The following is a 22,493-nucleotide window of genomic DNA, read 5'->3' as shown; positions in this document are numbered from 1 at the left end:
TGTAATCCCAGCACTTTGGGAGGCCAAGGCGGGCAGATCACCTGAGGCCCAGAGTTCGAGACGAACCTGGCCAACATGGAGAAACCCCATCTCTACTAAAAATACAAAATTAGCTGGGCGTGGTGGCGCATGCCTGTAATCCCAGCTACTCAGGAGGCTGAGGCAGGAGAATTGCTTGAACTCTGGTAGGCGGAGGTTGCCGTGAGCCGAGATCGTGCCATTGCACTTGAGCCTGGGCAACCACAGTGAAACTCTGTCTCAAAAAAAAAAAGAAATTTTCAGAACAGAAGACCATGGTGACTGGAACAGGGAAGAGAATGGAGGTGGGATTGGAGAGGTGGGAGGGGCTGGGTCACCCAGGGCCACGTGGATTCTTTCTGGTGCTGACTGTGGGTTTTATTCTAGGTACGTTGGGAAGAGACATTGGATGGTTTTAAGCTGGAGAGTAACATGACCGTATTTATGTACAAAAAGCTCACTCTGGTTGCCTTGTGGAGAAGGGTTGGGAGACAGGGTCAAAGTAAGGCCAATGGGGGTGTTTCTTTTTTCCTTTTTTTTTTTTTGAGATGGGGTCTCACTCTGTCACCCAGGCTGGTGTGCGGTAGCTTGATCTCAGCTCACTGCAACCTCCGCCTCCCAGTTTCAAGCGATCCTCCCACCTCAGCCTCCCGAGTAGCTGGGACCACAGGTGTTCACCATCATGCCCAGCTAATTTTTGTATTTTTGGTAAAGATGGGGTTTCTCCACGTTTCTCAGGCTGGTCTGGAACTCCTGAGCTCAAGCAATCCGCCCGCCTCAGCCTCCCAATGTGCTAGGATTACGGGTGTAAGCCACTGCACCCAGCCTAATGGAAGTGTTTCTTCCACAAGGAAGGGTCTTCTGAGGTAAGATAATGAAAGAGCACCTCCACCCAGGTGTCCGAAGTGAAGGTGTTCATTTAGGACTTTCATTGGCTGTCTTGTTGCAAATCAGGCTTCCAGAAGGCATAAACTACTGGTTTCTTTCAGCGTCCTTCTACGGGAGCTTAGGACACCTAATTGGAGTTTGAGCCTAATAGAGCAAAAGTGAAATGTGTGTTCTGTGCATGAGCTAGCCTGAGGACATGTGGCTAGTGGCTAATGAGCGTGAGGCCACCCTTTCAGGGTCAGATAAACTTAATGAGCTACTAGAATCAATGAGTGAATGAATGAACGAATGAATGTGTTTTTTTGTTTTTGTTTTTGAGACGGAGTCTCAATCTGTCACCCAGGCTGGAGTGCAGTGGCACCATCTTGGCTCACTGCAAGCTCCGCCTCCCGGGTTTATGCCATTCTCCTGCCTCAGCCTCCCGAGGCAGCTGGGACTACAGGCGCCCGCCACCACACCCGGCTAATTTTTTGTATTTTTAGTAGAGACGGGGTTTCACCGTGTGAGCCAGGATGGTCTCGATCTCCTGACCTCATGATCTGCCTGCCTCCGTCTCCCAAAGTGCTGGGATTACAGGCATGAGCCACCGCACCCGGGTTTTTTGGGGTTTTTTTGCTTTTTCTTTTTCTTTTGAGATAGTGTCTTGCTCTGTCGCCCAGGCTGGAGTGCAGTGGCGCAATCTCGGCTCACTGCAACCTCTGCGTCCCGGGTTCAAGCGATTCTCCTGCCTCAGCTTCCTGAGTAGCTGGGATTACAGGTGTATGCCACCACGCCTGGTTAATTTTTTTTTTTTTTTAGAGATGGGGTCTCACTATGCTGCCCAGGCATGTCTGAGACTCCTGGGATCAAGTGATCCTCATCCTCTTGCCTCAGCTTCCCAAAATCATAGGATTACAGGCGTGAGCCACAATGCCTGGCCTGGACATATTTTTGAGTCAACAGCTGCAAGAGCTACTTAGAAATTTTACGGGGGTTGCTGTGCCCCTTGCTTTGTTCCTTCTGCTTACCCTGAACCCTCTCTCTCTCCACACCAGGTTCTTTTTTCGATCGGGGAAACAGACCTAGATCCAAGGCCACAAGTAAGGCTATGGCTCTGATTCTAGAAGACAACCTTCCAAGATGCCTGGCAAAACCACCTCCCTGTGCCACACAGACACACTAGGCCTGTGTATTTATTTCCCCTTCAAAGCAGACTGAGGAGGGAGGAGACGAGGTTCTCTTGGCATCACTTTCTCCCTGGCTGCAGAACTAGACACCCTTGAAGATTTGGCCTGGGCCAGTGAGACTGAAATCAAGAAAAACAGAAGGGATGTGCAGGGTGGGGGGGTCCACTTCCTGCTCCCATGTCAACCCCCAGGGCCTCCAGCGTGCAGACGCGTGTCCTACTCATCTGCTCCCACGGATGACCCTGGTCTTCAATGGTTAGCAGAAGGGAGAAAAGAAAGCAGGAAAATGTGCTATTGAGATTCCAGTGGTGACTTCACTGATATTTAGTGAATATTTGATTTAGCCAACATGCCTTTCTTTATGTGATTTTGTATTAAAGTAAAATGATTTTTATACTTTCTATAGCTTATCTAGAGTGGTCTCTTAGTTACGATGGTACACATGGTATATGTGTGTATATGTCATATATCTACATTTCATTGTATAATGAATCAATTGCATTCATTCAGTCTAAGCGATGCACGATTATCTGGTGTCACTATGAAGGGAAAGATTGCTGCAAACTAAAATGTTAAGAAGCTATCGATTTTAGGACTCATCCTGATTTCAGAGGTGTTAAGATGTGAACAAAATGCATTTAGGAATCAATGAAACAGAGAGCGGGTGTCTGCACTTCGCAAAGGAACTAATGAGGCTGCCGCAACCATTCCGTGAGCCTGTCTTCTTAGTAAATAACAGTGGCTTACTCAATGTGTTTCGCCTGCTCTGTGGATTATCTCATTTGTTCCTCATAACCTGGGGAGATGGGGACCGGTACCGGTGCACCAGTTTATAGATTTTTTTTTTTTTTTTTTTTGAGACGGAGTCTCTCGCTCTGTCGCACAGTCTGGAGTGCAGTGGCACGATCTCGGCTCACTACAAGCTCTGCTGCCTACGTTCACGCCATTCTCTTGCCTCAGCCTCCTGAGTAGCTGGGACTACAGGCACTTGCCACCACACTCGTCTAATTTTTTTGTATTTTTAGTAGAGACAGGGTTTCGCCGTGTTAGCCAGGATGGTCTCGATCTCCTGACCTCGTGATCCACCCGCCTCAGCCTCCCAAAGTGCTGGTGAGAGGTGACAGCGTGCTGGCAGTCCTCACAGCCCTCGCTCGCTCTCGGCGCCTCCTCTGCCTGGGCTCCCACTTTGGCGGCACTTGAGGAGCCCTTCAGCCCACCGCTGCACTGTGGGAGCCCCTTTCTGGGCTGGCCAAGGCCGGAGCCCGCTCCCTCAGCTTGCAGGGAGGTGTGGAGGGAGAGGCGCGAGCGGGAACCGGGGCTGCGCGGGGCGCTTGCGGGCCAGCTGGAGTTCCGGGTGGGCGTGGGCTTGGTGGGCCCCGCACTCGGAGCAGCTGGCGGGCCCTGCCGGCTCCGGGCAATGAGGGGCTTAGCACCCGGGCCAGCGGCTGCTGAGGGTGTGCTGGGTCCCCCAGCAGTGCCAGCCCACCGGCGCTGCGCTCGATTTCTCGCCGGGCCTTAGCTGCCTTCCCGTGGGGCAGGGCTCGGGACCTGCAGCCCGCCATGCCTGAGCCTCCCACCCCCTCCGTGGGCTCCTGTGCGGCCCAAGCCTCCTCCACGAGCCCCACCCCCTGCTCCATGGTGTCCAGTCCCATCAACGACCCAAGGGTTGAGGAGTGCAGGCACAGGGCACGGGACTGGCAGGCAGCTCCATCTGCAGCCCCGGTGCGGGATCCACTGGGTGAAGCCAGCTGGGCTCCTGAGTCTGCTGGGGACGTGGAGAACCTTTGTGTCTAGCTCAGGGATTGTAAATACACCAATCGGCACTCTGTATCTAGCTCAAGGTTTGTGAACACACCAATCAGCACCCTGTGTCTAGCTCAGGGTTTGTGAATGCACCAATCGACATTCTGTATCTAGCTACTCTGGTGGGGCCTTGGAGAACCTTTGTGTCCACACTCTGTATCTAGCTAATCTGGTGGGGACGTGGAGAACCTTTGTGTCTAGATCAGGGATTGTAAACGCACCAATCAGCGCCCTGTCAAAACAGACCACTTGGCTCTACCAATCAGCAGGATGTGGGTGGGGCCAGATAAGAGAATAAAAGCAGGCTGCCCCAGGCAGCAGTGGCAACCCGCTCGGGTTCCTTTCCGCATTGTGGAAGCTTTGTTCTTTTGTTCTTTGCAATAAATCTTACTACTGCTTACTCTTTGGGTCCACACTGCTTTTATGAGCTGTAATACTCACCCCGAAGGTCTGCAGCTTCACTCCTGAAGCTAGGGAGACCAGGAGCCCACCAGGAGGAACGAGCAACTCCAGACGCGCCGCCTTAAGAGCTGTAACACTCACCACGAAGGTCTGCAGCTTCACTCCTGAGCCAGCGAGATCACGAACCCACCAGAAGGAAGAAACTCCGAACACATCTGAACATCAGAAGGAACAAACTCTGGACACGCCACCTTTAAGAACTGTAACACTCACCGCGAGGGTCCGCGGCTTCATTCTTGAAGTCAGTGAGACCAAGAACCCACCAATTCCGGACACACTGGGATTACAGGCGTGAGCCACCGCACCCGGCTTTTTTTTGGGGGGTGGTGGGGACGGAGTCTTGCTCTATCGCCCAGGCTGGAGTGCAGTGGCACCATCTGGGTTCACTGCAATCTCTGCCTCCCAGATTCAAGCGATGCTCCTGCCTCAGCCTCCCGACTAGCTGGGACTATAGGTATATGCCACCACACTGGGTTAATTTTTGTATTTTTGTAGAGACGGGGTTTCACCATATTGGCCAGGCTGGTCTCGAACTCCTGACCTCATGATCCGCCCTCCTCGGCCTCCCAAAGTGCTGGGATTACAGGCGTGAGTCACCGTGCCCGGCCAGTTTATAGGTTTAGAAACTGAAACTCTGGCTGTGGAGCTAGGAAGCAGCTTGCCCAGGAGGCAAATGCAGGCCTGATTCCAAGGCCCGGGCGCGGAGCTGCCAAGCTTTATGGGTCCAGAGTCACTGGCAAGTCCTAATAATAGTAATAATTTACTGTATGCCTCGCCTGCATCATTCTAAGTACCTTTCCGATGCTGTCTCACATACTTTTGTGGGATGGGTATCACTATTGTCCTTGGGGTCCTCCCAAGGAGGTTAAGGCATAATGGGTGAAAAGTCTTGTCTAAGGTCCTCAGCTAGAAAGTGGTAGAAGCAGGACTTGAGCCCAGATACAAAGTCCACACACAGGCTTCAACCACTCTGCCTTCCAGGAAGAGCTGGTAGTGTTTAAGAGTCTAGTCCAGAACACTGTCTCAACAGCATCATTAGATCAGGGCTCCTAATCCCTAGAACCCTGTGTAACACTGCAACCCTGGCCAGGCATAGTGGTTCAAGCCTGTAATTCCAGCACTTTTGGAGGCCAAGGTGAGAGGATTGCTTGAGCCCAGGAGTTCGAGACCAGCCTAGGCAACATAGTAAGAACCTATCTTTACAAAAAACAAAAAATTAGCCAGGCATGGTGGTGAGCACCTGTAGTCCCAGCTCCTGGGGAGGCTGAGGCGGGAAGATTAATTGAGCCCGGGAGTTTGAGGCTGCAGTGAGCTATGATCACACCACTACACTCCAGCCTGGGTGACAGAGTGAGACCCTGTCTCCAAATATATAAATGCTCCCCTGCCTCCCTGTGGGGATAGATAGGGTAAGAGAACCCACTCAGAAAGAAAGGTTAAGATGGCCTGGGTGGCTGTGGTACCCCAGGAGACTAAAAAAAGTTACGGTGAGAAATGCTTGGACTGCAACTCTTGGTAAAATCTGATGCTGGCAGGTGGGCATTTTGGAAAATAAGTCCTTGGGGTGATTCTCCTAGAGATGGGCCTAGCTTGACAACAGGTAACAGAGCTGTGACGTCAGCTGAGCTCTGGCGGTTCTCACACTGCAGGATTCCAACTACAAACCTAGACCGGGGAGGAACAGGCTCAGAAGTAGGTTTTCGCCGGGTGCAGTGGCTCATGCTTGTAATCCTAGCACTTTGGGAGGCCGAGGTGGGTGGATCACAAGGTCAGGAGTTCGAGACCAGCCTGGCCAAGAAGGTGAAACCCTGTCTCTACTAAAAATACAAAAATTAGCTATTCAGGAGGCCAAGGCAGGGGAATTGCTTGAACCTGGATGGCAGAGGTTGCAGTGAGCTGAGTTCATGCCACTGCACTCCAGCCTGGGCGACAGAATGAGACTCCGTCTCAAAAAAAAAAAAAAAAAAAAAAAGGTTTTCAAGCCAAGTCTCAGAAGGCACAGGAGGTGGTTGCTGTAGCAATCATCTTTTATTTTATTTATTTGAGACAGAGTCTCGCTCTGTCGCCCAGGCCGGAGTGCAGTGGCAGGATCTCAGCTCCTGACCTCATAATCCGCCTGCCTCGCCCTCCCAAAGTGGTGGGATTACAGGGATTACCGTGCCTGGCCAGCAGTCATCTTTTACAATGAACAAATAGGGCTGGGCGCGGTGGCTCACATCTGTAATCCTAGCACTTTGGGAGATGGGCAGATCACGAGGTCAGGAGACCAGCCTGGCCAACATGGTGAAACCTCGTCTCTACTAAAAATACAAAAATTAGCTGGGTGTGGTGATGCACGCCTGTAATCCTAGCTACTCAGGAGGTTGAGGCAGGAGAATCGCTTGAACCCGGGAGGTGGAGGTTTCAGTGAGCTGAGATTGCACCACTGCACTCCAGCCTGGGCGACAGACAGACCAAGACTCCATCTCAAAAAAAAAATAAATAAATAAATAAAAATAAGTCAGGCACAGTGGCTCACGCATGCCTGTAATCACAGCCCTGTGGGAGGGTGAGGCATGAGGATCGCTTGAGGCCAGGGGTTTGAGACTAGCTTGGGCAACATAGTGAGACCCTATCTCTACAAAAAGTAAAATGAACAAATAAATATAGCAACTACATATCAGAACTTGGAGGCACTTATTAGCTATTAGTCCTGAGTACTTGTAAACACTGAATAGAAGCTAGCCAAATTTTTAATTCTAATAATAGCTAATACTGATTACTGAAGGCTATGTGCAAGGCACTGTTCCAAGTGTTGTTTTTTTTTTTTTTGTATTAACTCATTAAATCCTCACAATCACCCTGTACAAGTATTATTACTGTCTCCATGTTACAGGGAGGGAAACTGACGCACAAGGAGACTACGTACCTGCCCAAGTTACACAGCAGTGGATTGGAAGCAGAGGTTCTGTTCCAGCAGCCACATGTCCCCTCCAAGGTGAAGCTATAATACTGATGCCTGAATCTTTGGGGGAGGAGGCAAGTCAAGTGGGCAGAGATTATCCCTATTTGAGACAAGTTTCAGAGAGGGGAAGTGACTTGACCAATGTCACACGGCTGACAAACACTTAAAACTGATGCTGGAACTGGATCTTTTGCATCTAAGCCAAGGGCTCTACTCACTGTTCCAATCTACCACCAGTGCCCAAGCATGGAGGGGACAGGGATCTGGGCTGGTAATAGGGACTTCCAGCCCAAGACAGGTGCAGTGATGATTCAGAGCCTCCTGAGAATCATCAAGTCTAGTAAATTATAAGTCGCAATGACAATTACATCAGCTAAAGTTTATGATGCTTACTATGTGCCATTGTTCTAAGGCTCAAAATGCATTAACTTTTAAGCTGGGCGTGGTGGCTCATGCCTATAATCCCAGCATTTTGGGAGGCCGAGGCGGGTGGATCATTAAGGTCAGGAGTTTGAGACCAGCCTGGCCAACACGGTGAAACCCTGTCTCTACTGTGGCCGGGTGCAGTGGCTCACGCCTGTAATCCTAGCAGTTTGGGAGGCCAAGGCGGGCAGATCACTTGAGGTCAGGAGTTCGAAACCAGCCTGGTCAACATGGTGAAAGACCGTCTCTACTAAAAATACAAAAAAATTAGCTGGGTGTGGTGGCTGGCGCCTGTAATCCCAGCTACTTGGGAGGCTGAGGCAGAATTGCTTGAACCTGGGAGGTAGAGGTTGCAGTGAGCCCAGATCATGCCACTGCACTCCCACCTGGGCAACAGAGTGAAATTCCATCTCAAAAAAAAAAAAAAAAAAAAAAAAAAAAAAGGCCAGGTGTGGTGGTGCATGCCTGTAATCCCAGCTATTCAGGTAGCCAAGGTACGAGAATTGCTTGAACCAAGGAGGTGGAGGTTGGAGGTTGCAGTGAGCTGAGACTGCCCCACTGAACTCCAGCCTAGGTAACAGAGACTGTCTCAAAAAAAAAAAAAAAAGCATTAACTTTTAATCTTCACATACCCTATGGTCCCCAGTATACAGATGAGGAAACGAAAGAGCTCAGAGTTCTGGGAAACACGCTCAAAATCACGTCAGTAAGCTTTTCTGGTTCCCCAGGAGGATGCTTACCAAAGCTTAGACATGCTGGTGTGACACAGTCAAATTGTAAAAACAGAAAGACACACACGTGGCCTTGCCTGGCAATAAATATTTTAATTTGTTTCATTTTTATGATGACAAATAATTTTCAAGTTTATTTCCTTGTTTAAATACAAAGCTAAACCACAAACAGGTATAATCAAGACATTGTGTCTCACATTTACACTCCCATCGGATCCTCTTCCAATTTGCTGACCACTGACCAGGCTAGCGGGGGGTGGGAGGGAAGACTTTCTTAGGTAGCACCGTCGTGAGGCCCGAGGTGGGGTTGGGGGGGAATCAAAGACGAGGACAGCCTCTCATACCTGTCTCCATTCACATTTACCTGGGACCAGGGTGGGCAGGAGACACCAGGTCATGGCTCCTGAGCCCCGGCCCCCTGGACTGAAGGGACAGTGTGTGAGAATCAGTTCTGTGAAGGGCGGGAGGAAGCAGTCACCTATTCCTCCTGCCTTCACAGTTAAGGTGAAAACCTTAGCCCTATCCTTGATTCCTGGGGGCTGCCGGGCCCTGTGTGCTCCCCTGCACACCTGGGTGCCTTTCTGAGGCTGGCAGCAGCGGCCGGGGTCAGGGGTCCTGGGCTCCTAGGCTCACACCTCAGCTCACAGTTGCGTCCTTGCAGGAGGACACTGGGTGTCTGACAAACACAAGGCCTCGACAGCAGGTCTGGAACTTTCAACCCCAGCAGGATGAGGGGGAATGGGGGTGGATGTCAGGTAAGTAATTTCTGGTCCCACTACAAAACTTTATTTTTGATTAGAGTACCATTCTCAATCTCTTCTACAAAAAGCAAAAAAAAGCAAAAAAAAAAAAAAAAAAAAGCAGCCACTTCACTCACTTCAAGACCTATATACATGTAAAGTTGTTTTCTGTGGTTTTTTTTATTTTTAATTTTTTTAAATTTTTATTATTATTTTTTAAAATAAATTCAGTGTTCACATTTCTATAAAGAATTAACCCAGTTTCAGGAAACCCTGCCCCAGCAGGGCAGGTAAGCAACCCTCTCCCTGCCCACATCTAGTTTGATTTCACGCCCTGATGCTTCAAGGTGCCCAGAAAAGCGGCAGCTTGTGGAAGAGGAAATCTATGCCCGGCCCGTGCTTGGGGCCCGGGGCTCAGTAAGCTTTCGAGAAAGCAGAGGGGAAGACTAGCTTACTGCAAAAACCTTTTTAAAAAATATTCATACACTTCAGTGAGCGCCTGTTGAGACGTTAGGGGAACAAGAGCTTGGAAACATCCCGTCCAGGCCATTGGGAGGCAGCGTCTTCCTCACACCCCGTCCCTGGATGTCGGGGGTGCAGGGGGAAGGTCCCGGCTCTTCCACTGGAGAAAGGAGACTCACCTGGCTTCCTAGTTCATGTTTGACTATTTCCTCTAAAACCTGTGCTGAGTCTTTGACTGCATGCACGGGAAGCACAAACGTTCGGCTTGTATGCAAAAAAAGTACAAAAACAACTAGAATATAAAAGTTTTGGTAATATAAGGCCATCTGTTCAAGTCCACCTTGGAAACCTGTAACAGATATTTAAATACTACAGTGAAAAGGCATCTTAATATACTTTTTAAAAACATCTGAAGTAATCCGCTAAGATTAAGTGTGTAAAAAAAAAATTCAATTCCCTTTGAGGGCACTTTGTCCTTTGAAGAAGGGAAAGTGGGGCGGGGAGGGCACGGGGCCCACCGGTTAATGCTTCAGCCACGGGTGGGCTTCAATGGAAGCCTTGCTGCGGTCCCCATAGTCATACAGGAGCTCCTCCCCAGCCGCGATGTCTCGGGAGGCGATGAGGATGAGGTGAGGTACGCCGTCGATGTCGTGCAGTTTGGTTTGGCAGTTCCCACATTTGCTGTGATTGATCAGTCTTCCTAGGCGATTTGTCTCTCTAGTTGCATCCACGCTGGAGGGGAAGGAGGGCCAGAGAGGATTAAATGGATAAAGAGGCTTTTCAACCTGAAGAGAGTCACACTTGTGCTCAGCTCTGGTGGGATGCTGATTTAAAGCCATGTGTTTTGAAAAGATTCAATTCATAAAGCTATTTTCTTTTTCCTTTTTAGAGGGGGTCTCGCTCCGTAACCCAGGCTGGAGTGCAGTGGCACGATCACGGCTCACTGCAGCCTCCACCTCCCGGGCTCAAGTCATCCTCCTACCTCAGCCTCCCGAGTAGCTTTGACCACAGGTACATGCCACCACATCAGGCTAATTTTTAATTGTTTCTGTAGAGACAAGATCTCCCTATATTGCTCAGGCTGGTCTCCAACCCCTGGGCTCAAGTGATCCTCTGGCCTTGGCCTCCTGAGTTTTTGAGATTACAAGCACGAGCCACCAGGTCTGGCTCAATTTGCAAAGCTTTTTTTTTTTTTTTTTTTTTTTTGAGAGGGAGTCTCGTCGCTCTGTCGCCCAGGCTGGAGTGCAGTGGCACGATCTCAGCTCACTGCAACCTCTGCCTCCCGGGGTAAGGCAATTCTGCCTCAGCCTCCTGAGTCACTGGGATTAGAAGCGTGTGCCACCATGCCAGGCTAATTTTTTTGTATTTTTAGTAGAGATGGGGTTTTGCCATGTTGGTCTGGAGCTCCTGACCTTCATGATCCATCCACCTCGGCCACCCAAAGTGCTGGGATCACAGGCATGAGCTACCACGCCTGGCCCACAAAGCTATTTTTGAGAGCCTGCACAGGCCCTGGGTGGGGGGATGGGGTAGGACCCAAAGGGCTCTTTATGGAGGCACAGGAGGAAATGGTAGAGTTTCACAAAATAAATGGATTAAAAAAATCAACCCCGCCAGGCGCGGTGGCTCACGCCTGTAATCCCAGCACTTTCGGAGGCTGAGGCGGGTGGATTACCTGAGGTCAGGATTTCAAAACCAGCCTGGCCACCATGGTGAAACGCTGTCTGTGCTAAAAATACAAAATTAGCTGGGCGTGGTGGCGCATGCCTGTAATCCCAGTTACTTGGGAGGCTGAGGCAGGAGAATTGCTTAAACTTCGGAAGTGGAAGTTGCAGTGAGCCAAGATCGTGCCACTGCACTCCTGCCTGGACAACAAGAGTGAAACTCCATCTCAAAAAAATAAAATAAAATAAAAAATAAAAAATTCAACTCCACTGGTCCTAGCCAGGCAAGATCAATTAGTGATTTCCAGAGCTGCTCTGGCCAAATGCCCTGAAGGAGAGCCAGGTGAGCTGCTTAACAGGTTTTCATGTGACTAGCCCACTTCTCCCCTTGGATGAGATAACATCCAGGACAGCTCCAATTCCAAAGATTAAAAATGGGAAGCTGGGGCCACAGTGGCTCATGCCTGTAATCCCAGCACTTTGGGAGGCCAAGGTGGGCAGGTCACAAGGTTAGGAGATTGAGACCATCCTGGCTAACACAGTGAAACTCCATCTCTACTAAAAATACAAAAAATTAGCCAGGCATGGTGGCATGTGTGTGTAGTCCCAGCTACTCAGGAGGCTGAGGCAGGAGAATCGCTTGAACCTGGGAGGTGGAGGTTGCAGTAAGCCAAGATTGCACCACTGCACTCCAGCCTGGGTGACAGAACGAGACTCCGTCTCAAAAGAAAAAAAAAAAGGGAAGCTGGGGCCAGGCGCAGTGGCTCACATCTGTAATCCCAGAACTTTGGGAGGCTAAGGCAGGCAGACCATATGAGGTCAGACCAGCCTGGCCAACATAATGAAACCCTGTCTCTACTAAAAAAATATATAAGAATTAGCTGGGCGTGGTGACGCACACCTGTAATCCCAGTTACGTGGGAGGCTGAGACAGAATACCTTGAACCCGGGAGGTGGAGGTTGCAGTGAGCCAAGATTGTGCCACTGCACTCCAGCTTGGGCGACAGATCGAGATTCAAAAAAAAAAAAAAAAAAAAAAAAAAGGAAGCAGGCGATAATTGCATCACAGCTTTGAAAAAAGGCAACAACAGCCCGAGCGCAGTGGCTCACACCTGTAATCCTAGCACTTTGGAAGGCCAAGGCGGGTGGATCGTCTGAGGTCAGGAGTTCAAGACCAGCTTGGCCAATGTGGCAAAACTCCACCTCTACTAAAAATACAGAAAAAAAAAATTAGCTGGGCTACTCTGGAGGCTGAGGGAGGAGAATTCTTTGAGCCTGAGAGGAGGTTGCAATGAGCCGAGATCACACCACTGCACTCCAGCCTGGGCAACAGAGCAAGACTCCATCTCAAAAAATAAAAAAAAAAAAGTCAACAACAACAAAACCAAAAGACTGGCCACCAAACAGAATCAGGAGTTCCTGGCCCTTTGGCCTCTCCTCACTGCCCAGAGGACAGAAAAGCCACTCTAAGCAACAGTGGACTCACCAGTAGGTTTTGCTCAGATACTGAAAATAGTACATGTAGCAGCCCGTGGAAGGGTCCTGTGCGTACAGAGCCTCCCGTTTCTTGGCGTCGGTGATCTCGATGAGGTCCCCGTGGTATTCCACCACAAAGTCACCCCGGGAGAACTGCTTGGTGGCAATCACACCCCTGCCTTTGCCATCGATGAGGTCAATCTGTCAGGTGATAAGAGAGGGTGTTGGTTCATAATAGCAATGGATGCCACTGTGCACAGCAGGTCTCCGGGGAGCTGGGGCTTACCCCAGTCTTTAACAGCTGTACTGAGCCATGTCATAAAATTCACTCACTTTACATGTACAGGCTGATGGGTTTTATGAAGTGTATACAGCTGTGCAACCGTCACTACAGGCCAGCTCTAGAACGTTCCCTCACTCCACAAACGTGGTTCCTTGGTGCTCATCTGCAAAGCAGTTACATCAGAGCTCGTGAGAGATCTGCTAGGTGGAGACTGCCCCATTTTGTAGATGAGGAAACTGAGGCTTAAAGAGGCACAACCACGTGTCTGAGGCCACACAGCTAGACAGTGACACAGCTCAAATCCACACACCTGGTTTCTCTGTCTAGGGGCTATGCGCTATGCCTTCCTAGGCAAACAGCAGGCCCAGTGTTCTGGGTCTCTACCTCATTCCACGATTTCTCTCCTGTGTCTCCTCACTCTATTCTACATGGAGTTGAATGGGGTTGCTGGAGGGGCCCAGGACTTAAGCCGGAATCCCCCTAGGTGGTGGGTGGAAGTGGAAGCTTTCTGAACCCGGAGCCCTAGTCTAGGCCCATCTGAACCCCACTGTAGAGAGTACTTCTCCTCTCGCCCAAACTGAGTGTGGTTGAAATACAGTAAGAGAAAAGCACATTTCTTGGGCATTGTCATTATCTAGGAAAACAGTTTAAAAATGTATTAGTTTCTCCTTTTAAAAGTTTCCCTGGGCATCAGCTACATATTGTATAATCCGATTTATATGAAGTGCCCAGAAGAGCAACTCCACTGAGACAGAAAGCAGCTGAGTGGCTGCCAGGGGCTGGGCAGGGGAGAGGTGGGGATGGTGGGCAGTGGTAAGTAATGGGTAAGGGTTTCCATTTGGGAGGATGAAAAAATTCTGAAATTAGACAGGGATAATGGTTGCATTGCATTGTGAATGTACAAAAAGCCACTGAATTGTTTAACCACAATTTCTAAGAAAAGCTTCCCCTGGATAACATTTATATACAAAGCCCATTTATGTTTCCTTCATAAGACATTTCCTTAACAACTTTTGGTATTTGGCTCTTTGACAACCTAATAGAGTCTGCCTGGTCACCATGGCCATTAGAGGGTGAAAGCCACATGGTGGCCACTCTCAGCCACGGGACCAGGGAAGGTGAGCTCTTCCAGCTTTAGCTATGATGCAGCAAGCACAGCAGCCCCTTACCTTCATTCCTTCTTCCTTCCCACTTTCAATCAATTCATCTATTCTTTTCCTTTCTTCAGACTGGGCAGAGAGAAAGAAAAACAGCATCAGTATCTTCTCCTAGGCCCATCGTGCGTAGCTTGATGGTCTTGAGCCCTGATTGCCCAGGCCATGCCCACCGGGCCACAATCGGCCTCATTTGGCATCACTGGGGATGATGGGTCCCCAGTGATGGCAAAGCCCCCAAGTATCCCTCCTTTTCTCATCACCCATCTGTTGTGGAAGATCTGTCACCTGGGGTTCAACTGGATCAGGAGGGAAACAGTGGGGACCCAAGAACAGAATGGGGCTCGTAGATATGTTCTGTTGCCCATGCAGCACGTTAAAAAATGTCCAACTTGCCCACACCTGAAAATCAGGCCTCTGACTTCACAGAAAATCAGGTACAGTGGGCCAGGCGCGGTGGCTCACGCCTGTAATCGCAACACTTCGGGAGGCCGAGGCGGGCGGATCGTAAGGTCACGAGTTCGAGACCAGCCTGGCAAATAGGTAAAACCCTGTCTCTATTAAAGATACAAAAATTAGCCAGGTGTGGTAGGAGCCTGTAGTCCCAGCTACTCGGGAGGCTGAGGCAGGAGAATCGCTTGAACCTGGGAGGTGGAGGTTGCAGTGAGCCAAGATTGTGCTACTGCACTCCAGCCTGGGCGACACAGCAAGACTCCACCTTAAAAAGAAAAAAGAAAATCGGGTACAGCAGATCAGAGGCTGTGCCCTTTGGATGGGACACACGCAGTCCACATGGCTCTGGTCTGATGGCTCATACTTCTGTTTGGGATCGCTGAGATTCACCTGTATGGAGGCCACCACGATGGATGAGAAGAGGGCCTCCAATCCCGAGGGTCAATACAGACCTGAACAGAGAACTGGGAGGGGGCACCCCTGGATCCACCTCTCCTCTAAGGCCACCCCTCCTGCACCTACCTCCATCCCTAACCCTGGGTTCTACTGCTCTGCCACTGCACAGATACTACAGAGCAAAAGGGAACCAAATGAAGACAGATCGGAAGCTCCAAACCAGTGTGGCTCACCCCAAACCAGCATGTCTTGACGGCATAGACTTTCACCAAACCAGATGGCACGTGTCAGGAGCCTGACACCAACTGCTGAGCTCAGCCCATTCCCCCTACACAGAGGCCCAAACCAGCTTGCAGCTTTTCCAGGCACTCAATCCACACCTGCAATGTGCCAGGCGCTGCAGTCTGTGCTGGGAACAATGGTGAATGAGTAACCTCAAGGACAGTCCCAAATCCTGCCACCTCCTCTCCATCTCCATTCCCACTGCGGCCCTGCAGCCCAGCCACGGCCCCGGCCCCGCTCCGGCCCCCTTGCTAGTCACCAGGCTTTCACTCTGACCCCAGGGAACACTCAGTTCTCCACAAGGTAGCCAGAGGGGTCTTTTAAAATGTAAATGAGGCCAGGGGCAGTGGCTCTCTCCTGTAATCCCAACACTTCAGGAAAGCCAGGAGGAAGGATCGCTTAAGGACAGGAGTTAGAGACCAGCCTAAGCAACAGATCCAGACCCTGTCCCTACAAAAAATAAATAAGCTAGGTGTGGTGGCGTACACCTTTGGTCCCAGCTACTCTAGAGGCTGAGGAAGGAGGAGGATTGCTGGAGCCCAGGAGGTTGAGGCTGCAGTGAGTCATGACTGTGACACTGCACTCCTGCCTGGGCAACAGAGTGAGACCCTGTCTTAAAAAAAAACAGAAAACATGACCAGGCATGGTGGCTCACGTCTGTCATCCCAGCACTTTGGGAGGCTGAGGTGGGTGGATCACTTGAGGTTACGAGTTTGAGACCAGCCTGGCCAACATGGCGAAACCCCGTCTCTACTAAAAACACAAAAATTAGCTGGGCGTGGTGGCACACACCTGTAATCCCGGCTACTCAGGAGGCTGAGGCAGGAGAATCGCTTGAACCCAGGAGGTGGAGTTTGCAGTAGGCCAAGATCGCACCACTGCACTCCAGCCTGGGAGACAGAGCAAGACTCCATCTCAAAAAGAAACAAAAAACAAAAAAAAACCTTCCCATAAACTTATTTAATAGTAATATACCTAACAAAACCTCACATATCAATATTAACCTTAAACATAAATGGACTAAAATGTTCCACTTAAAAGATATGAAAGATAAGGGTCAAGAAGGTTAAAAAAAAAAGAAAGATATACACCTGTTATCCCAGCACTTTGGGAGGCCGAGGCGGGCGGATCACGAAGTCAGGAGATCGAGACCATCCTGGCTAACATGGTGAAACCCCATCTCTACTAAAAATACAAAAAATTAGCCGGGCATGGTGGTGGGCACCTGTAGTCCCAGCTACTCGGGAGGCTGAGGCAGGAGAATGGTGTGAGCCCGGGAGGCGGAGCTTGCAGTGAGCCAAGATCGCGCCACTGCACTCCAGCCTTGGCAACAGAGCAAGACTCCATCTCAAAAAAAAAAAAAAAAAAAAAAGAAAGATATATATTGGTGGAATAGATTTAAAAAAAACAACAACAAAACTTGGTCAGGTACAGTGGCTCATGCCTGTAATCCCAGCAGTTTGGGAGGCCAAGGCAGGTGGATCACCTGAGGTCAGGAGTTCGAGACCAGCCTGGCCAACATGACGAAACCCTGTCTCTACTAAAAATACAAAAATCAGCCGGGCATAGTGGTGCACACTTGTAATCCAAGCTACTTGGGAGTCTCAGGCCAGGAGGCGGAGGTTAGTAAGCCATAATCATGCCACTGTACTCCAGCCTGGGCAACAGAGTGAGACCTTGTCTCAAAACAAAAAACAAAAAACAAAAAAAAAACTTCAACCAACAGTAATATACCAATGTTGGTTGTTACTTAGCTGTGACAAATTCACCAGAGTAACTTAAGTGAGAGAAGATGGGTAAGGAGTCTGGGGAACTCTCTGTATTATCTTTGCAACTTTTCTATAAAATTAAAATTATTGGCCAGGCGCGGTGGCTCACATCTGTAATCCTAGCACTTTGGGAGGCCAAGGTGGGCGGATCACAAGGTCAGGAGTTTGAGGCCAGCCTGACCAACATGGTGAAACTCTGTCTCTACTAAAAACACAAAAATTAGCTGGGCGTGGTGGCAAGCGCCTATAATCCCAGCTACTTGGGAGGTTGAGGCAGGAGAATTGCTTGAACCTGGGAGGTGGAGGTTGCAGTGAGCCGAGATCGCACACCTGCACTCCAGCGCGGGCTACAGAGTGAGACTCTGTCTCAAAAAAAAAAAAATTGCAAAATAAAAACATTTTAAAAACTTTTTGGCTGGGCACGGTGGCTCACGCCTGTAATCCCAGCACTTTGGGAGGCCGAGGCGGGCGGATCACAAGGTCAGGAGATCGAGACCATCCTGGCTAACACGGTGAAACCCCGTCTCTACTAAAAACACCAAAAATTAGCCGGGCGTGGTGGCAGGCGCCTGTAGTCCCAGCTACTTGGGAGGCCTTTTTAATTATTTTTTAAGATGGGGTCTCACGGCCGGGCTCAGTGGCTCACGCCTGTAATCCCAGCACTTTGGGAGGCCGAGGCAAGTGGATCATGAGGTCAGGCATTTTGAGACCAGCCTGGCCAACGCAGTGAAACCCTGTCTCTACTAAAAATACAAAATCAGCTGGGCATGGTGGTGGGCGCCTGTAATCCCAGGTACTCAGGAGACTGAGGCAGGAGAATCACTTGAACCCGGGAGGTGGAGGCTGCAGTGAGCCAAGATCGCGCCATTGCACTCCAGCCTAGGTGACAGTGTGAGACTCTGTCTCGAAAAAAACAAAACAACAAAAAACCCACAAAAGATGGGGTCTCACAATGTTGCCCAGGTTGGTACTGAACTTCTGTTCTCAAGTAATCCTCCCACCTCAGCCTCCCAAGTAGCTGGTGTCTTTTTTGTTGTTAATTACTCCCCATTGGAAAACAAGCCCTACGGGCTGGTCTAGTTTACTGTGGAATCTCCTGGTCTAGAACAGTGCACACAGCAGGCCCTCAAAGCAACACCACCACCATCACACACATAACCACCTTGCTGTGTGACCCATTCATTGCAAGTGTGCAGAGAGTGCTGAGAAGTACGGGGGCCCATGTAAACGGGAGTGATCATGGAAAGACCGGGGTAGTGGAATGGGGGTTTTTCTGCTGGGACCAAACACGGCAGGTAGGAGATGCGCAGAGGGAAGCTGGGACCAGGCCAGATGCCCCGGCACAAAGCCAGGGAGGCTGAGTCTCCCAAAGGCCTGGAATTTGGGGCCTGCAAACAACCAGCCCTGGGTTTTCTAAAGGGACTTCTGGCAGGAACCCACAAATGGGCCTAGAAGGAGATGGAGTGGGAGGGATACAAGGTTGGAACTAGGGCAGTTGAGAAGCGCCTGTGACCAGGAAGGAGGGGACCTTCCCAAGCGGAATCAGCAGGCTGCTTGCACATCTGGCCCTGGGGCCGAGCTGGGCATGAGGAAGCCCAGCCATTGCCAAGAGGCATGGTCCCTGCCCCGCTGCTGGCTGCCACCCCACCCACAGCCAGGCTGGCCGGCCAAGGGGCCCCTGCAGTGAAGCACTTGGTGGATAGGGCATCTCTCCAAGGCCCACCTTGTGTCCAAATCCAGCAGCCCTGATCCCACCCTGTTGCCCAGGACCCACGCCCTGGCGCTAGGCCCGCCCTGGCTGCTGTCTTCAGCCTCAGTGGAGGTATATAAGAGGCTCTGAATTGCAGTTTCACCCCAGACCATCTGGCCAACAACAGGCTGTATTATGCCCCACCCTCCTGGATCCACAGCCTGGGCCCAGCATGGCAGTCAAGTCAGGACTGACCCCACCCTTCAGATGAGCCCCAGCTGTCCCGTTCTTGGGCTTTATCTGTGCAGTCAGAAAATATTCCACCCTGACCAGCTCTAGCCACGTCATCCCGGCCAGCTATGGCCTCCCTGCCCTGGCCAGCAACAGCTTGCATGGCTGCACTCAGCAGAGCCAACACAAACAGTGGGGGGCAAAGCACGGCTCCCGGTCCAGGAACAGGGCGAGCTTTCTTGTGTTTGCAGACTGTGCTTTAGGGAAGCAAGTGTGTTCTTCCCTTCTGCTCATCTGCTGCAAGATTTAGCAGACCTGCATCCTGTCCCATCGCAGCCTTCACTCTGCCCAGCACAAACTCTTGCTTCTTATTAACAAGGCCAACTCGGCTCCCCCCACCCTAAAGTCCACAGCAGCCCTTGGTGGACGCTCAGCAGAGGCCCTGTGTGTGGGCACACCGCAGCTCCAACCCTGGCTGGGAGGTGTCTGGGATTCTGTGGTCTGGCACCACCTCACCATCTGCAGTGCTGTCTTTTTTTTTTTTTGAGACGGAGTCTTGCTCAGCCACCCAAGATGGAGTGCGGTGGCGCGATCTCGGCTCACTGCAACTACCGTCTCCTGGGTTCAAGTGATTCTCCCATCTCAGCCTCCCAAGTAGCTGGGATTACAGGCACCTGCCATCATGCCTGGCTAATTTTTGTATTTTAGTAGAGACAAGGTTTCACCATGTTGGCCAGGCTGGTCTCGAACTCCTGACCTCAGATGATCCGCTCACCTGGGCCTCCCAAAGTGCTAGGATTACAGGTGTGAGCCACTGCACCTGGCCCAGTGCTGTCTTTAAGAGTGACCTAGCAGGCCGAGCACGGTGGCTCACGTCTGTAATCCCAGCACTTTGGGAGGCTGAGGTGGGCGGATCACCCGAGGTCGAGAGTTCGAGACCAGCCTGACCAACATGGACAAATCCAATCTCCACTAAAAAAAAAAAATACAAAATTAGCTGGGCGTGGTGGCGAATGCCTGTAGTCCCAGCTACTCAGGAGGCTGAGACAGGAGAATCACTTGAACCCAAGAGATGGAGGTTGCGGTGAGTCGAGATCACGCCATTGCACTCCAGCCTGGGCAACAAGAGCAAAACTCCATCTCAAAAAAAAAAAAAAAAAAAAGTGACCTAGCACAGCCTCCCACTGCTGACAAATGTTTTAAACAGCTCATTCTTGGCTGAAAGACATTGCCTTTTTCAGGCAATAAAACCAAAGCTGCTCTCTGTGGGGAAGAAAATGGACCTTTTTAAAAATTTTTTTTAAATGAAGCTTCATCAATTAAAAGAAAAAGAGAAAGAATACTAGACCACTGTGTATCTGCGCATTTAACATCAAGAACGCTGAAGGAGTCCGCATGAGGGCTGAAATGCTGAAACTGCCAAAGCCGGGGTCCCCACCTCTCTGTGTAGGATGCAATCCTGAGCACCTCTCCCAACCCGGTGGTCACTGTGGGGGTGAGGGAGAGCAGAGGGGCAGCCCCAGGTGTCCCTGAGGGGGAAGAGCAGAGGGACCTGCCATGCCCTGCGTTTCCTTCACAGAAAGGCAATAACCACACCTCACTGCAGCAAATATTGACTGCCTGCCGCATAGCTCAACCCTCTGCAAACATGGCAGCGGAGGCCCGCATAGGCCAGCTGGCCTTCCAGCCGGTGCTGCTCACTGGTCTGCAGGCTCCTAGTATGGCAGCAGCGTGGGAAAGAGCAGACGGGAGTGACAACACTGAGGAAGCAGAGGTGGCGATAGTAACAGTTAGCTGGCACTTACTGAGTGCCAAGCATGGTTCTAAGGGTTCCTCTTGCATGACCACATTTATTGAATGCTCACCACAGCTCTAGCAGGTACTACATTATTGTACCATTTTACAGACTGGAGAGCCAAGGCATGGACAGGGTAAGTGACTGGCCCAAGGCTACGCAACCAGCAAGTGGCCCCAAGCCACTGCTGTTTAACACCCTGGGCCACAACATGGAAACTTCCAGAAAACAGACAAGAAAAGCCTCTGAAAGAACAGGCAGCCTTTCCCACAGTCCCAGGCTCCCAATGGCTCTGCCAACAAGTCCTGGAAAATCCACCTTCAGAGTCACACCTGGCTTTCCCTGCCACATGCTACAAGTCACAAGGTTCCTTCACACAAGTGTCTTAACCAAGCCCTGCAGTGACCCCAGCAGAAAGGCAGGACAAGCTTTGTGAGGATCCCCGATAGATCCAGGAGAAAACCAAGTCCAGAGGGGCCAAGAGACTTGCTCCAAGATGACGAAAACAAGGCTGAGGACACACACATACGCACACGCCAAGCACTGCTTGGTGGGCCACCCTGCCCCTCCACAAACTGGAATTTAAAGCACGTGACTACCTGCAGCTCGGCTTTGCTCTTCCTGGAGCTCCTTCGGACAGGGTAGAAATCCGTAAGTTTGCGATTCTGTTGCGTTTTTCCTTGAGCTCTGGGTAAGAGGGGAAGAGGAGAAAATAAATATCAGGACTGAAAACCTGGAGGCACACAGCTCCTTAGAAGGCACACACCGAGGAGGCACACAGCTCCTTGGAGATGATGTCACTTAAACACCTTTGTCCACTGGAGCCTGCAGGTCACTCAGTCACCTGCCCATGAGGGCCTCAGAGGAGTTTCAAAGACGGGCTGCTGGCTGGGCGCAGTGCCTCATGCCTGTAATGCCAACACTCTGGGAGGCTGAGGCGGGAGGATCACTTGAGCCCAGGAGTTCAAGACCAACTCAGGCAACACAGCAAAACCCCGTCTCTAAAAAAAGGAAAGAAATTAGCCAGGCATGGTGGTGCACACCTATGGTCCCAACTACTCGGGAGGCTGAAGTAGGAGGATCACTTGGTCCTGAGAGGTTGAGGCTGCAGTGAGCTACTGCACTCCAGCCTGGATGACAGAATAAGACCCTGTCTCAAAAAACACAACAGTCGGGCATGGTGGTTCACGCCTGTAATCCCAGGACTTTGGGAGGCTGAGGCAGGCAGATCACGAGGTCAGGAGTTTGAGACCAGCCTGACCAACATGGTGAAACCCTGTCTCTAATAAAAATACAAAAATAAGCGGGACATGGTGGCATGCACCTGTAATCCCAGTTACTCAGGAGGCTGAGGCAGGGGAATCGCTTGAACCCAGGAGGTGGTGTTTGCAGTGAGCCGAGATCGCACTATTGCACTCCAGCCTGGGCAACAAGAGACTCTGTCTCAAAAAAAAAAAAAAAAAAACACAAAACACCAATCACCAAAAAAGACAAACAAAAAAAATAAATTTAAAAAACAAAGGCTGCTTATGCTGGGGTGGGTAAGGAGGGGAGGAAGGAGAGGCTCTTGAACTCTGGACCCATGCCAGATCCAGAAACTGACAAACAGTGGCATCCCTGCTGATGACTCGGGGCATCTGAGTCTTTGACATGAGAGAGGCTG

At 50.6% G+C, this 22,493-nt stretch overlaps 2 protein-coding genes across 14 annotated transcripts in view, besides 1 other annotated feature; one reads left to right on the top strand and one right to left on the bottom strand.

Annotated features, from left to right (window-relative positions):
* RILPL2 (Rab interacting lysosomal protein like 2) overlaps positions 1 to 8,556 on the top strand; it is a 27,379-nt gene extending 18,823 nt beyond the window's left edge. For 2 of the 4 annotated variants that reach the window (NR_130703.2, NM_145058.3), the window contains one exon: positions 1,941 to 2,823. Coding sequence is in view for 3 of the 4 variants with exons in the window: in NM_145058.3 (NP_659495.1) it covers positions 1,941 to 1,971 (31 nt within the window). In the remaining variant the exon portion in view is untranslated. Of the gene's footprint in view, positions 1 to 1,940; positions 2,824 to 4,323; positions 7,184 to 7,212 lie in introns of those variants that run through there. The other 2 variants (XM_011538012.4, XM_047428476.1) reach the window with 2 other exon arrangements.
* The window catches only part of KMT5A (lysine methyltransferase 5A), a 25,222-nt gene continuing 11,237 nt past the window's right edge, over positions 8,509 to 22,493 (bottom strand). For 9 of the 10 annotated variants that reach the window (NM_020382.7, NM_001324504.2, NM_001324505.2 and 6 more), the window contains 4 exons: positions 21,430 to 21,517; positions 14,230 to 14,289; positions 12,788 to 12,978; positions 8,509 to 10,369 (listed from right to left, as the gene is read on the bottom strand). In NM_020382.7, coding sequence (NP_065115.3) covers positions 10,159 to 10,369; positions 12,788 to 12,978; positions 14,230 to 14,289; positions 21,430 to 21,517 — 550 coding nt within the window. In that variant the 3' untranslated portion in view covers positions 8,509 to 10,158. Of the gene's footprint in view, positions 10,370 to 12,787; positions 12,979 to 13,110; positions 13,224 to 14,229; positions 14,290 to 21,429; positions 21,518 to 22,493 lie in introns of all 10 variants that reach the window. The other variant, NR_136910.2, reaches the window with a different exon arrangement.
* Positions 15,227 to 15,990: an enhancer, noted in NCBI's record as "NANOG-H3K27ac-H3K4me1 hESC enhancer chr12:123886419-123887182 (GRCh37/hg19 assembly coordinates)". NCBI's record gives its function as "activates a minimal SCP1, AML or CMV promoter by ChIP-STARR-seq in naive H9 embryonic stem cells {active_cell/tissue: H9 hESC(naive)}" and the evidence as "EXISTENCE:reporter gene assay evidence [ECO:0000049][PMID:30033119]".

Source organism: Homo sapiens, chromosome 12 (genome assembly GCF_000001405.40).
Source record: "Homo sapiens chromosome 12, GRCh38.p14 Primary Assembly".
NCBI classification, from domain to species: Eukaryota; Metazoa; Chordata; class Mammalia; order Primates; family Hominidae; genus Homo; species Homo sapiens.
The sequence above is the reverse complement of the archived record's forward strand: the minus strand, read 5'-3'. Positions and strand labels throughout refer to the sequence as shown.